Source organism: Homo sapiens, chromosome 11 (genome assembly GCF_000001405.40).
Source record: "Homo sapiens chromosome 11, GRCh38.p14 Primary Assembly".
NCBI lineage: Eukaryota > Metazoa > Chordata > Mammalia > Primates > Hominidae > Homo > Homo sapiens.
Window position 1 is genome coordinate 5501598 of NC_000011.10, and position 15136 is coordinate 5516733.

The 15136-nt window shown below is 43.5% G+C and overlaps 3 protein-coding genes across 6 annotated transcripts in view; all 3 read right to left on the minus strand.

Moving 5' to 3' along the window:
* The window catches only part of OR51B5 (olfactory receptor family 51 subfamily B member 5), a 165335-nt gene extending 161280 nt beyond the window's left edge, over nt 1–4055 (minus strand). For both annotated transcript variants that reach the window (NR_038321.2, NM_001005567.3), the window contains exon 1: nt 3972–4055. The gene's annotated coding sequence lies outside the window, so the exon portion shown is untranslated. The remainder of the gene's footprint in view (nt 1–3971) is intronic.
* Nucleotides 4056–5702: 1647 nt separating this feature from the next.
* UBQLN3 (ubiquilin 3) lies at nt 5703–8360 on the minus strand. Of its 3 annotated transcripts, XM_011520145.3 has the most exons (3): nt 8277–8360; nt 7022–7997; nt 5703–6562 (listed from the first exon to the last, which is right to left on the minus strand). In XM_011520145.3, the coding sequence occupies exons 2-3, from the start codon at nt 7959–7961 to the stop codon at nt 5994–5996; spliced, it is 1509 nt and encodes a 502-aa protein (XP_011518447.1). In that variant the 5' UTR covers nt 7962–7997; nt 8277–8360; the 3' UTR covers nt 5703–5993. The 3 variants fall into 3 exon arrangements, with proteins under 3 accessions (XP_011518447.1, NP_059509.1, NP_001334025.1); NM_017481.4 differs by having other exon boundaries at nt 5703–7997; NM_001347096.2 differs by having other exon boundaries at nt 5703–8030.
* Nucleotides 8361–12795: 4435 nt separating this feature from the next.
* On the minus strand, nt 12796–15102 carry UBQLNL (ubiquilin like). The gene has a single exon (NM_145053.5). It carries the CDS (start codon nt 14842–14844, stop codon nt 13417–13419), a length of 1428 nt encoding a protein of 475 aa, NP_659490.4. The 5' UTR covers nt 14845–15102; the 3' UTR covers nt 12796–13416.
* Between the last annotated feature and the right edge of the window lie 34 nt (nt 15103–15136).

Consider the following 15136-nt stretch of genomic DNA (forward strand, 5'->3'; position numbering starts at 1 on the left):
ACTTACCCTTAAAGCTGCCACAGTAGCTGTTTCCTAAGACTTTATAACAAGATTGTCCCTTTTAATTATTCAGATCACGTTCTCACTAATTCACTATCCTATCACTATATTTTGATTATATGCACAGAATTTACCATTGTGTGATATTTTCTTCTTTGCTTATTAATTTCTCCCTGTTTATTATTATACTTTAAGTTCTAGGGTACATGTGCACAACGTGCAGGTTTGTTACATAGGTATACATGTTCCATGTTGGTTTGCTGCACCCATGAACTGGTCATTTACATTAGGTATTTCTTCTACTGCTATCCCTCCCCCAGCGCCCCCAACCCCCGACAGGCCCGGTGTGTGATGTTCCCCGCCCTGTGTCCATGTGTTCTCATTGTTCAACTCCCACCTGTGAGTGAATTTCTCCCTTTCTTTAATCTTGCACATTTAATCTCATCAGAAAGCTTTGTAAATTCTATCTCCAAAATATGTTCTCATTTGTCCACTTCTTGTCATACACACGTCAGGAACCCTATTCTAAGCCAGTACCATCTCTCACTTGAATGACTACAGGGGTCTTCAGATTGGCTCTGCTTCTCCGCTTGTCACTCTCTCATTCATTCTCTGTGTAAGTTGAGAATCAATGTCTCTACATGGGTGACAAAGCCTTCCTGACCTTGCACTCACCTGTCTTTCCCACATCACCTTGAAGCACTCTCCCTCTCATTCTCTGTACTCCAGACCCACTGGCCTTGTTTAAATTTTTCCATGAATGTATCGAGCTCCAGTCAAAATCAGGATTCTCTTTTATCCTTTCTCCTTTGCATGAGACATTTTTCCCCTAGCTCTTTGAATGTCTGGCTTCCTTTCACCTTTCAAATCTCTGTATAAATACTTCCTCCACAGAGATTCTATCATTCTAAAAATACATCCCTCCTCCTGCCATATGCACTAGCAATTTCCTGCATGAAATTTGTTGTAATTATAAACCAATAATCATTTGTGTAATAGAAGTGAGAGAAGAATGTGGTCTCTAGAAAGACCGGTTCAAATTCCAACTCCAGCTCAACCATTCCTTCACATGCTACCTAATCTTGGACTAGACACTTTACCTTCTTATGCCTTAGTTTACTTACCTGTAAAAATAGGTGTAATTATAGAGCCTACCTTACAGGGTTTCTGTAAGAAATAAATGAATATATGCAAAGGCTATAGAACAGTGCCTAGTTTTCCGTGAGATCTCTTTAAGAGTTAACTGAAATATGTCATTGCCACTATATTTTAAACTCCTTAGGGTAGGAAACATATCTAATCTTGTTCGCCATTGTATTCCTAGCACCAAACATCATTTCTTACATACAATATGTGCAGGAAATATTTATTGAACTGTGAGTGTCAAAGGGTAATAACTTGGAAAAATTCATGATATATTACCAAGTTAAAAAGGTAGGTTATGAAACTATGCACAGTACAATCATAGTTGTATTAAAATATATAAAAGTACAAACATCATAGTATTGGTAGTGCTATCTGTGTAGTGAATTTTTCTATATTCTTATTTTACCTATCTTATGTACAACTTACATACATACAAATTATTAGAAGAGTAGAGGCTTTGCAACTATTTATCAAAGATGCATACACTCGATTGCATGAGCATCTATTAACAAAGATCTGAAGTAATAACACAGCAACTGGTAATAGCACAGTTTCATCACAGTCTAATTCACCCAGAAAATATAATGAAAAAAACTGTCATTCAAAATAACAATCAAAAAATGTCACGTGTAAATAAACCCAAATGCGTAAAGCTTATTTGAAGAAACTACACTTTTTTTTACAAAGAAATAAAGTTTAAATAGAAATATTCCCTATTTTAAAAGGAAAGACTGCCTATTGCAAATTCCTCAACATGTTCCAATTTATAATAAAAAGCCAATCAAAATCTCATTTGGCCTTTTCTGAAATTTGACATCTGCTATAAAGTGTACTTGGAAAAATAGACAAAATTAGCCAATGGTATCTTGCAATGTCAGGCATTATTCTTTTTGTCATTAAATATTTCAAAGTTAAAATAATTGAGGAAGTGTAGTATTAGATAAAATAAAAAGCAAAGAAACAAAAACATCTATGCATATGTAGGCTATGGTAATGACGACATTTCAGTCTAGTGTAGATACTCGCAGGACTCGGGGGTAAAAATTTCAATATCACAAATTCTGCCCTGCTCTACTTTTTGAGGGGTAAGGATTAAAGCATAAATTAAATTAACTTGATTTATTGCAGTGATTAAGAGTATGGGCTCTGGAATTAGACTGTCTAATCCTGGCTGTAATATGAAGTGCTTTATAGCTTTAAGTGATGTACTTCCCCTCTTCATTTGCCTCAGCTGCCCTCATCCATAAACTAGGGATACTACTAATATCTGCGCTAAAGGACTATTGTGTGGAATCCGATGGTAAAAGCTTGGAACAGAGCCTGACATATAGTAAAGCCTCAATAAGTGTTAGCTAAAATTAATATTAAATAAATACAAGTAATGAAGCCCTAAAACATATAGAAAAAAAATATGGGCATGTGTTTATGATGAAGATATTAGTTTTGTTTTTTTAAAGAAAAAAAAGAAATAACACTGATGCTTAAAAGCACTTTTTATGGTTTGGATAACTTTCTCCTTAACTGCCGTCTACTTTCCTAGCTAATTGTTATCCACATCAGCTCTCAGTATTGCAGACTTTAACACGGCTTGTTTTTCTGCTTTCTAGCAAATCTCTTGGTCTGAAGAAAGAGTACAATTTCTTTGGAAAGGGCCATGCAGTAGGCCCAGCATGACCAAAACTCTGTGACTCTATCTTCTCTTCGCCACCTGTGTAACCCCCTTGTCATGTCCTTCCACAACTCAGATTTGATCTTGGGCCATGGCTGATAGAGTGTAAGAACAGGGACAGCAGATGGGAAGTCCTAGGAGGCCTGCTCTTTCAGCAACATCAGCCTGCAGGGACCTCCTCCCCCTAAAATTCTCATAGCCTTTATTTTCCCAAGCACAAGCTTTGGTCCTGTGACATCTTTAATTTGATTTGTATCTATCCAGTGTCCCCAGTCACTTCCTCATTTGTTTTCTAACTTAGTCACTCATTGTTTAACACTCCTTCAATCACTGATTGCACACTTTCCACGTACCAGGCCCTACCTTAGCTGCTAGGTAGAAGACAGTGACCCTCCCTGCCCCAGAAGCCTCCTCCTCCTGGATTCACCACCTTGGAGCCAGGCATGAGGCTGATGAGTTTACTCTTTAATGAAGCTAGAGCAAGGATTCCAAGCACCCAGTCAATTGTGAAGAGCTCTAAGAGGTTATGGCAAGAGAATTATCCACTAAATGAACACTCTTCTCCCTAGCTAAGACTTTTAGACCCAATTCACCTGGTGTCTTCCCTGATGAGCAGGGCTTAACTTCAAAGGAGCCTCAGGTTTTCTTTGGCCCAGATGAAAGGCAGATAAAAACAGTAACATTTCTTCCCATTAGGTGTTTTTTTGTTTTGTTTTGTTTTTGCTTTTTTCCTCAGACCCACCTGGCCTTCCAATTAACAGGACTTCACTTCATATGACCCTCAGGTTTTCTTTGGCTCAAATGGAAGGCAGATAAATGCAGTAACATTGCTATTAGGTTTTTTGTTTTTTTCCTCAGACCTATCTGGACTTCCAAGGATGGAAATTTGGGGTTCAATGTATATCTTCCCCAGTCAGAGGCAGACCCAGAGAACTCACCTCATGAACGGAAGAAAATGGAGAGGCAAGACTTTCCTCTTCATTTCCCCTAGCACCACCATAAACAATAGGTTTTTCTTTAATCTGGACAAAAACTATCCCCTAATGGGGAGTGGAGTGAGGGGAAACTGAAGCTGTATTTGTCCGTTTTCACGCTGCTAATGAAGATATACCCGAGACTGGGCAATTTATAAAAGAAAGAGGTTTACCGGACTTACAGTTCCACATAGCTGGGGAGGCCTCACAACCATGGCCAGGAGAAGCAAGTCACATCCTACTGGAATGGCAGCAGGCAAAAAGAGAGCTTGTGTAGAGCAACTCCGGTTTTTAAAACCATCAGATCTCGTGAGACCCATTCACTGTCACGAGAACAGCATGGGAAAGACCCACCCCCATGATTCAATCATCTCACACCAGGTCCCTCCCACAACAGGTGGGAATTATGGGAGCTACAAGATGAGATTTGGGTGGGGCCACAGAGCCAAATCATATCAGGAACCTTGTGCTCCACCTAAACATTGAAACCTAAATCGCTAGAATAAATGTTTTCCCAAAGGCTGCTTTTATCTCCTTTAAACCGTGTGCTAGCAGCTCTAAGTTACACAGGCTGATCAAAATATCCTGAGCTCCAAGTAGAGGTTCCCTCTCTCCCAGTACTGAGTCTCTGACATCTAAACACACACCACAGCCACTTTTAGGTATCCCCCATCAAGACCTCTTTACTTCCTTGATAGGAAAATACTGTGAATGTTTCTTAGGTTTACACTTCCATTTTGCGATGAAACTCTGATTTAACAGACTGTGTTTTGTATGTATGCTTGTACATATGTACATAGAATATACCCATGTGAAGACATATTTAAGTGGATGTGTATTGTGTGTTTGTGCGTTTCTCTACAGTGGGTTTACCTGACACATTTGTGTGCATATGGACTGGAAAGCATTATTTACTGGCTTGATTTATGAATTGCAACACTTTTACCCTAGAAGTACATGGTTAATGGAAGGCATCCTTGAATGCAAACAAGGATCTAGTCTGAGATCCCAAGGGCATCTTCTATGTGTTATGCACCTCCTACCTCAGTGCCTTTGTACATAATAGCTCTTCTGCAGGAAAGCTCTTCCCTCCGCCTTGAAAGCTTTACCTACTTAATTCTTACCACTTTTTGGATTCTAGTTTGCAGTACACACTCACAGAAGCCTTTCCTTTCTCCCCAGACTAGATCAAGACCCTGTTCATGCTATTTCACAGCTCCTCATCTTTTTCTTTACACCATTTCTCATAGTTTGTAATTATATATAATGTGAATTATATAGTCACAATTTGCACAATTCTTGCTATAAGATCATAAATTCATTGAGGCAGGGCAGTGAGTAAAACTCTTTTGCTCATATTGAATTCCTAATAGCTAGCAAAATGCTATACACAAAGTATGTCTTCAGTTTTGAGCTTGAAGTTGCAAAAAATTAACTCTCTGGATCTGGCTACAAGGGACTGTATAAAGTCGGTAAGATTCAGGAATCTGAGAAGTCACCCTGACTCCTTTGCTGCTCTATCTCTATCTGCTTAGAGATCAGCATCAAATCCTGGAAGTGCAAGCTGCTTGGGGGATAGTCTTCAGGGGAGATAAAAATAAGAAACTATAACCACTTTTCAGTCAGGCTAGTGGTAGGGAGCTCGGAAAACCAGAGCACCTGGTAGCAGCTACTACAGGACACAAAATCTGAAGAAACGCTGAAAGAACACTGGGAAAGTTGCAGGCCTCGACCTTCAAAAGGTTGCAGCAACATTTCCTCCTCTGTTCTTCATACCTGTGAGTCTTCTAACTTCAGACCTTTTAGTTTCCCTCCAAGTCCTTCCATCCATGTAGAGACAGCCCTTATCACTACTTCTTCTCCCATATCCATCCTTTTTCTCATAGCCCACATGAATGAGACTCAGGCAAGAGTTCACATTGGAAATTGGGTGTAATTGCATCTCAAGATAGGCATAAGCAGAGCTTAGACTGGGGCCCCCCAGTGGTATAGTGGTACAAGTGGTTGACTCACACACAGCACCTCCACTATGTTTTGGCCATTAGTCTTCCTCGTTGACTCTGGAACAACATTGCCTCCACAGCAAAGGACTTCATAGTAAATTTGGTTTATAATGCAGCTGTATTCAAAAATGGGAGAGCTAGGGAACTAGGATATGGGAAAAAGGCACAGAGGAAAACGTATGGTTTGAATGAATAAGGCTCCTACGACTGTCTCAGCTTCTCCACAGCAGCATCCACGTCGCCCCCCGTAGCAATGAGGGCCTGAAGATTGGCTTCACGATTCAGAAAGCCCATGGACCGCAGTTGCTCCAGCTGCACCTGAAAGTGAGCCTCAGGCTGCAGCTGCTGGGGATTTGTACTAACTAAATCTTGCAGCATATGGAGAAAGGGAGGGGAAAGGAAGCCCAGCTCTGCAGAGTCCAGTGCTGGGAACACCTCAGGAGGTGGATTTGGGAGAGGATCCTCAGACATAAGGGGATCTTCTCTAGACTCTATACCTCCTGCCACACTACCCGTCCCTGCTAGGCAAGGCATGAACCAGAGTAGGAGGCGAGGTGCTTCAGTAGCTAGGACCTGTAGACCCTGCTCAATCTGCCGCAGGGCTTGCAGGGCACGGGGGTTTGCCATGGCTGCCTGAAGGTGCATCAGCAGTGGCAGCTGTGGTTGTATCTCATCCTGTAACTGTGGAGCTGGATTCATGCCATCTGGCCTCAGAGATCTTGGATAAGCCGGGGATGGCAGCCAGGGAGGCTCAGGGATTCCAGGAATGGCTGCCGTGGGGGAAAAAGATAAGGGAGCAAATGGAACCCTGTTGGCAGAATCTCCCAGCCCCGAGACAAGATCAGGCAAGTTTGTGCTATGTCCAGTAGAGCTTTTCCCTGCACCATCTTGGTCTCCACCTTGTCCAGTACTGTTCTCTGTGGGGTATCTCAGGAAAGCTGGGCAGGAGGACCTTCCCTTGATTGCTACTGACTCCTCGGGGAGAGGCTGGCCTGACCCAGGCTCCTGAGATGAGGGTGACGATGGGGGAACTCTGTTTACTGATGGTGGTGGTTCCTGGCTTTGGCTGAGGGCAGATGCAGTCCCCTGTAGATAAGTTCCTAGGGACTGGGGGTTCTCGTGTAATTGCTGGAGATAGTCATAGAGCCTTATAATACCCAGAAAGTTTGGAAACCTATTTCTAATGTCAGGTGCATCCTGATCCCCATCCTGCCTTCCTTGCCTGCTACCTGAGCCTCCATGTGTGGAAGTCCAGGGGTTGGGGAGAGGGTCACAATTCTCCATCCTTGAAGGTTGGCTGGTGGTGGTGGTGGCATTATCAGTAGTGGCAGTGGCAAAGGGATTGCCGCCAAACTGCTCCTGGACTGCGTTAAGCATTGGGTCCATAATATCTGTGTACATAGTGCAAAGCACATTGTAGCCACCAGGAATGCTCTCCAAGTTACTGAGCACCCGGTCCTGGCTACGTATCATCTCCTGCATCATGGCAGGGTTACGTAAAAACTCCAGTGTCTGCCGCATAATTTCCGGGTTGTTAAGAATATGCCCAATCTCAGGGTTGTGCTGGATCAGCTGCTGCATATGGGGGTTGTCAAGAACCAGCTGGCGTACTAGGCCTGTGTTGGACAGCAGACCCGGGATGAAGGGGTCATCAATGAGCTGAGTCACAAACTCAGGCACAGACACATGCTGCCGCATCAGGGAGCTTGGCTGGTCAGGGAAGCCACGATAGGCCAAGCCCAGCCTACTGAGGCCTGTGAGGAGACCTAAGCTAAAGGCAGGGGGCCCATCTGCTGGGTAAATGGAGCTTGGCTGAGGGAGTGATCCAGGACTTGGGCCCTGGGTAGGGACAGAGGCAGCTGGGCACTCATTGCCCATGGCACGGTGCTGCCTCTTGATGACCAGGTGGACAGTGAGGCCATCTCGCACTCCACACTGTGCCAGTGAGTCAGGATCCTTGAGGATTTTGCCAGCAAAGATTAGAACAAGCTGATCGGGGTGGGCCTTAAAGCGCTGAGATATCTCTTCCTTCAGCTGCTGGATAGTGCATGTGTCTGTAACTGAGAAATCCTCCTTGTCTTTGGGCGTCTTCACTGTCACCTTGATGAGGTGGGGATCCTGGACTGGTGCTGGGCTGCCCTGTGGCAGGGCTTCTCCACCTTTGGCCATGGTGGCAGCAGGAGGCCCAGATCTGTGGGGACACAGCTAGGGGCATGGGGATTGGAGACCAAGATCATCCTTTCAGGCAATGGCAAAAGTAGGAAGGGTGAGTATGAAAAGGGTCTTGAATATCAGGATAGGGAAATCTGCAGGGTCTACATGAAAGGGGCCATGAGGTTTCTGGGGCAGGATGCTTTAGGAAGATTGCGGGATTGAGATATGTTGGAATCAGGGGAGGGAAATGCAGGGCCCTGGGAAAGAGGTCTGTAGTTGATGAATACAGGGACAAAGGTAGAAGGAAGGGCCCAGCTGGGGTGTACATACCAGTCAGCTGTGGTCCCGTCCTTCTCTTTATGCAGGGCTCCAAACCTCCCTCATCTTGCTACACAGCCACCCCTGAGGCCTTCTGGGCCAGAACCCGCACTATCAGGTCCCTTCTGTGACCTCAGTGCTGACGTCACAGCCTCACACAGAGAAGATTCTTGAGACTTCTCTAAGGAGCTCGGGATCCCTGGGAACTCTTGCTCTCCCATCTTTTACCACTTCTACTTCCTCCACCTCAAGTGCCTTCCTGTGGAGACTTCTGTGGAGGCTCAGACTGGGATTGGAATGTTATAAAACATCTCTCAGTCCTCTCTGTCTCCATTCAGACCCACATTCAGCTACTTCCTGGTCCAGGGTCTTCTTCCTGGTATCCTATGTCCCAGTTTTCTGTCTTATTCAACATTAACCATGAATTCTTTACGTATTTTCAAAGTATTGATTCGCTGATGGATAGGATTTGGGGTATAAGGGAGGAGTCAAGCATGAGATAACTTTTTTTTTACTTTAAAAGAAATTGTTATCCCCAAAGGAACTCAAAGGATTGAATATTTACTAAGACAAAGATTGGGAATAAGCACTTTGTCTAAATTAGCAGGTTGTTAAACAGTTTTACATACATTTGAGATGTCTATTTTACATACAAATGGAGATGTAGTATTGTAGTTTAATATTATAAGTCCAGAGTTTATTAGCATTCAAAGGGTACTTAACATCATGGACTGGTTTAGATTAGCTAGTTAGTGCATACAGGCAAAATGATAGAGATTTTAAAATCTGAGTTTTGTGGCTGTATAACATTTAGAAATCTGGAAGATCAGAAGAATTTGGCAAAGGAAACGGAGAAAAAATAAAAGAGTAAGGTAGAAAAAAAGAGAGAGAAAAGAGAAAGGCCAAAGGAAGAAGAGTTTCAAAAAGGAGAGAGTAACCAATCATGTGAAATGATGCTGCTAGGTCAGGAGGATGAGGATTGAGAATTGGCCACTGGATTTGAAAAAATAAAGAATTGGAGACCATGATGAGACTAGCTTTGGAAGGATAGTAGAGGCAGGAAGCCTAATCAGAGTGTGTTTAAAAGCAAATGGTTTGGGAAAAAGTAGATCCAGTTAGGGCATTTTAAATGCAAGAAAGGGGATGACGGCTATGTGGGGATGTGGGGTTAAAGGCTTTTTAGATTTTTTTCTTAAGAATAGTGTAATGATGTTTATATTCTGATAGAAACAATCCAGTGAGTAGAAAAAATTGATGCATGAGAAAGGGAAAACTATTAAGTTCTTGAATAGATAAGTTAGAGAGATTGGGAGCAAGTGCCTATGTGGAGAGCTTGATTTAGGAATATGAAGTTTATTCATGATAGCAGAATGAATGGGAGGCAGAGTGTATTGGGACAGTTGTAAGCTAGTTGGTTGATTTCATGGTAGACACAGGTAGAAGTCCCTTCTGATTATTACTGTCTTTCTTGTTGAAATAAGCACAACTTTAAGATTTAGAATAAGAAATGGATATTGAAGATCTGAGAAGAGAAAACAAGATATGAATTGATCATCTGAAAGAATAAGTGTTAGGTTTTGAAAGGAAGGCAAGGCTTAAAGAAAGACACACACACAGCAAATGCAGGGTTTATGTCTAGCATAAAACCTAGAGAAGTGTGGGACCAGCCTAATGCCAGAGCCCACCACTGCTTACAGGCTGGGGTAATTTATAGGTATGGGAGGGAGGGGTCTGGGCAGTATGGCTTGCTGCCTGGCAGGATATTGATAAGATGTGCTCATGATGAGGCAGTTTGGTCCTTGTTTCTGTAGGATGTCATCGTGGTGTTCAATGGACCTTTGCGCAGCAAGATATGATAGGGATGTTGCTTTAGTTGGACCTTTGTCTGCCTTGTGGTCAGGTGGTTAGGCAGGATGTTTCTCACAGCCTGAACCCCCGTGAAATGTTTCACTTTGACCAAGGTCTGCAAAATAGTGGGAAGTTTACAAAATGGTGCAGTTTGGACTAACAATAAGGTAGTGAATTAACTAGGATAGTGGATTTCCAGGTATGATCTCCAAACTGACAGCATTAGCATCACCTGGAAACTTATTAGAAATTAGAGATTTTAACCCAACGGTAGACCTACTGAATCTAACACCCTTGGAATGTCGGGCAGAAATCTGTGTTTTAACACGCCCTCCAGGTGATCCTGGTGCAGATTCTGGTGAGAATCACTGGACTGGGAAAATGCAGTTAGAATTACTAAGACGGTAATTAAATCTTTTGGTAATAAGTTTAAATGAAACTAGTCAGCACAGCTGTATGCCGTTTTTTGCCTAAACAGAGACTAGGTGAAGAGTTGAGTATCACCATGATAAGTTAACTAGGCAAGTATTATGCCACAATTATTATCTTCATGCATCATGAAATAATCTTGGAGCCAGAAAACTGGGCTGAGAAGCAGCAAGATGGTGCAAGAGTGACATCTATCCACTTCCAAGTCCAAGGGAAACACAGATGTAGCCACTGCTGGAGAAGCAGTGTCTTCACTAGACATTCAGATCTCCATTATAGCAAAAAGGTGTAGTCATCCTTAGGAAGAAGGTTGTAGATATGTGGGCTTTTCTATTGCTAAATTATGACTTCTAAATGGTAGGATGAAGAGGCTGGAAAACTGGTGACGAGTAGAAAAATGAGTCAAGTGAGGAATTTTCAGAGCATATTGTGATGAAAATAAAAAAGATGACCTGGATAGCCTGAGCTTTTTATGCAAGCTGTAGCAAAGAGGGTATGAAGCTTAATCATATTAAATGGGGAGGTAAAAAATCCATTTTCACTGTAATTTATTTATTGAGACTTATCTTTTTGGTAGGTGTAGACATGAAGTAGGGGTCTTTGGCAGTGAGCTTTCTAGAAACACTTGGAAGTTTGTAGGCCCGCCCTTCACTCTTACCGATGGCCATGTTGGGGCTCAGAAGGGGTGGTCTGTTGAGCACACAAATCTCTGTGGATGGGTCCCCTTTAGAGTCCAGAATCTACTCCTCAACACCTCCCCTGCTCCCACCCTACTGCAAGAAACTACTGTTTCTCAACTGCTCTATCATAAAAGCCTCCTAACTGGTTTCCCTGCTTCCCTGGTTTTCCTCTACCACAGTCCATTCTCCACTCTGAAGCCAGACTGATAAATTGAATTATTTGATTTATTTGCTCAAAACTCACCAGTGACTATTACATTCACAGTAAAATCCAAAGTTTTCACCAGACCTATAAAACTTTTCACAATCTCTCTGACTTCCTCCCCATTCCCCGCTCCTTTTTGTCCATTTCAGCTACATCACCTCCTTGTTATTCTTAAAACATAGCAGGAATACTGCTACCTTGGGCCTTTTACTTTCAGACAGCCCCTGGATCTTCCTTCTCCCAGTGAATTGCATGTTCAGTTCTCGTAGTTACTTCTGACTTCTGCTCAAATGTCACCTTTTCAGAGAGGCCTTCCCTCATCACCCTATGTAGAATATCTTATTCTGATTCATTTTTCTTCACAGCACTTACCACTTAACATAACTTGTATCTCCACAAAAGAAAGTAAAGTCAATAAATAAAGGATCTTTGTTTTTTTCACTGCTATTTTTTTCAATGCCTAAAACAACATTGAATTATTATGGTAAAAGTGTTTTAAATTATTTAATCATGGAATCATTAAAACACAAATAATTGCATATCCTGCCATGGTGGGATACTCTAGGTGAGGCAGAAAGAGAAAAAGGTGGGGCATTGGCAACCATGGAAAATGTAAACTACAAACATAAGATAGATATACTGAAGGAGGTGATATTCTTGGAAGGTGCTGTGCCCCATGGAGGGCTGGATTTGTGGTGACTGGGATATACAGTGGAGATGGCAGCAGCTGCATCTCTGTGTGCTAAAGAGACAGTAGAGACAGCCCATCACCATCTTATAATGGTGGCAAAATCAACGAGCAGGAGGTTCCAATGATGATAACTATTCATCCGGACTTGGTTAATATGTGAATTCACCCTACTCTGGCCCTCATATTATTCCTGTTCCACTTTCAAACTTGAACAATTTGGGTTTGAGAAATTCAGGCAGTCTTTATGACTAAATATCTGGGCCTATCTATGTAAAATGTTTCCCTTTCTGTTTGAGCATGTTATGATTGTTTTCCCTACATATGGGTCTATTTATGTGTCTCTAGGTATTTGCATCTGTGTTTGCACATGGCTGTGTGTACTCATATGTGGACTCTATATGCCTGTATATGTGAATTTTTTACTATGTGAGCTTGTGTACATACACACACCTGTCCAAGGTGACATGCTCAAAATAATCAGTTTCATATACCATGCTCAAGTTTCATATACCATGCTCAAAATGCTCATGTTTTAGAGATAAAAACATTATTTTTATCTCTATATTAATATATGCATGTGGTTTGTGTGTTAATGTACATATAGTAGGTGAGACAAAAATCTCACACAGCTAGTTTTTTCTTTTTTTTTTTGCAAAAGAAGTAAAGCCAAACCTCAGATCGCAGCAAGTGAGTGTAGCCATTTTATTGACAGATGTTTCAGCCACGACCAATGATCTATTATTCAGTACAAGACACATTGGTTGATAACTCTTATTCCAGGACTTCTCCTGGCTGGAAGCATCAGGAAAGGTGCAAAAGGCAAATGAGATGGTCAGGTGGGTCAGCAGGCAGGTAGCAAGCAAACAAGTAGGCATGGTGGTTAGAATCTCTGGGATCTCTTGAGCTTGCGGATAGCAGCATTGGTGTCCCCTTCAGTAGCAATGAGTGCCTGTAGATTGGCATGGTGGTTCCCAAATCCCATGGCCTGGAGAGAATCCATCTGTTTGCTAAAACAAATCTCAGGAGCTTGCAGAGGGTGGGAAGGGTCCCCATCCGGGGATTGTAGCCTCTGCAGGACTGTTCCAGGCTTGTGGCAGCACTCAGGTCCCTTGGGCTCAGCTGTATCTGAAACATTCCAGGAACAGGGCACTGTGTCAGGATAGCTGCAGCTGGGGGCAGGAAGCCAACCCAGGCCCCATAGGTAGGGTGCAACCCAAGGCAGAAGAACAGGAGCCTCTGTGGCCAGCAGCTGGAGGGCCTGCTCAATCTGCAATATTGCTTGGAATGCTTTAGGGTTGCCTAAGCACTAAGCAGATCAGAAATCTGTGTCTGCTGCAGGAATGTGGGCAGCTGCTGCCTCCACTGTTCACTCAGCTGGGGCATACTTGTGAACAACATAATCTGAGCTGCCAGGTAGGGGTTGTTCATAAGCAACTGCATCATGCCTCCTGTGATCTGGGAGCTGCTCTGCTCATCTGACAGCTGGAGATCACCCTTTAATGTCTGTCTGGAGCTACTTAGAGAAACAGTGGCATCCTTGTATTCTTCTTGAAGCTGCTGGGTAAGCTCTATGCTAGGTAAGGCTGGTATCCAAGCTGGCTGCCGAGTGGCACAGATATGGCTCTGGCCCTTGGTGGAAATCATAGCAGTGTTGGCTTTGGAAGTGTGGTTGACCTTGTTAAGGGTGTCATTGGCTGAGGTGTTTGAAGAGAAACCACCAGAGCTATTATAGATGACTCGGGTTGCAGGATGCTGTGTGAGCTGGTCTTGTTGTTCCTGTGATGGTGGTGGAGGTGGGGGTGAAGACTGGACTTGTTCTAGCACTTGTCCTGCCAGGAGAGCTGTGAAAGGGTTTCCTCCAAAAGGATCTTGCATGCTGTTCAGCATTTGATCATTGATATCAGCATAGTTCTGACCCAGGGCATTATTCCCACCTGGCATTGTCTCTAAGCCCAGATATGGCTGTGGGTTCAGTGGATACTCAAGGTTTTGTGAAGGTTGTTGGATCTGCATTATCTCTTGGATCATAGCAAGGTTCCTGGCCAGCTCCAGAGTCTGCAATAGGATCTCAGAATTATCAAGAAGAAGGCGGGAAACTTCTGGGTTCTGCTGCATCAATTGTTGCGTGTCTAGATGTTCTGAAATGAACTGCCACATGAACTCCATGTTGGACAGAAGCCGCTGGATGCTAGGATTCTCCAGCATCTGTGCTTTGCACTCTGGGTGGCTCACTTCCAAGTTTTGGGTATGCACTTTGGGTGCATCAGACCCCACAAAGTGGGCCAGTTCCACTGGAGCTTGATTCATACCAGTTGGTTGGTGCACTCTGCTGCTGTTTCCTTTGGTGTTTCTGTCCCGGTGGCAGGGATCATTCGTTGGCAGGTCCCGGAAGGAATGGGCTAGAGATCTGGAGCCCTGCTTGGACTTGATGACCAAGTAGATGGTGTGGCCATCCATGATGCCCCTCTGGCTCAGTGTGTCATGGTCTTTGAGAAGGCAACCCATGAAGACCAGCACTAGTTGGTCCATCTGGCATTGGAAGTGAGCCAATAGCATCTCCTTGAACTGCCTTACCGAGATGTCATCAGCTACCATAAAGTCTTTCTGGTTGCCTGCAGTCTTCACTATCACTCGAGTGGCACTTGAAGAGATATTTTTGTCTGCCAGCAGACCTGATGGACATCCACTCTGGGACATCCTGGATGTTCGAGAGATGGCATGCCACATGGGCTTTAGTGGGTGGGCAGATGGGGAGCAGGTGGAAGCTGGGGCAGAAAGGGTGAGGGCAGACAAATGTTTCTGCTGGCCTTTGTCTCAGGTATTGTGCTCTCAGGCCACAGGATAGTTTCCTTGTTGCCCTAAAAGGGATGAGTGACCAGACTGGGGCCAGATATTTTGTGATGTTGTGCCCTCACCCCAGTTCTCCAGATGTGGCCCAGCTGAGGCCTGGCATAGCTACTGATTCATAATTCACCCATGGTGGACAAAGTGGTGATGACTTCTCCTAGGGCTACCCCTC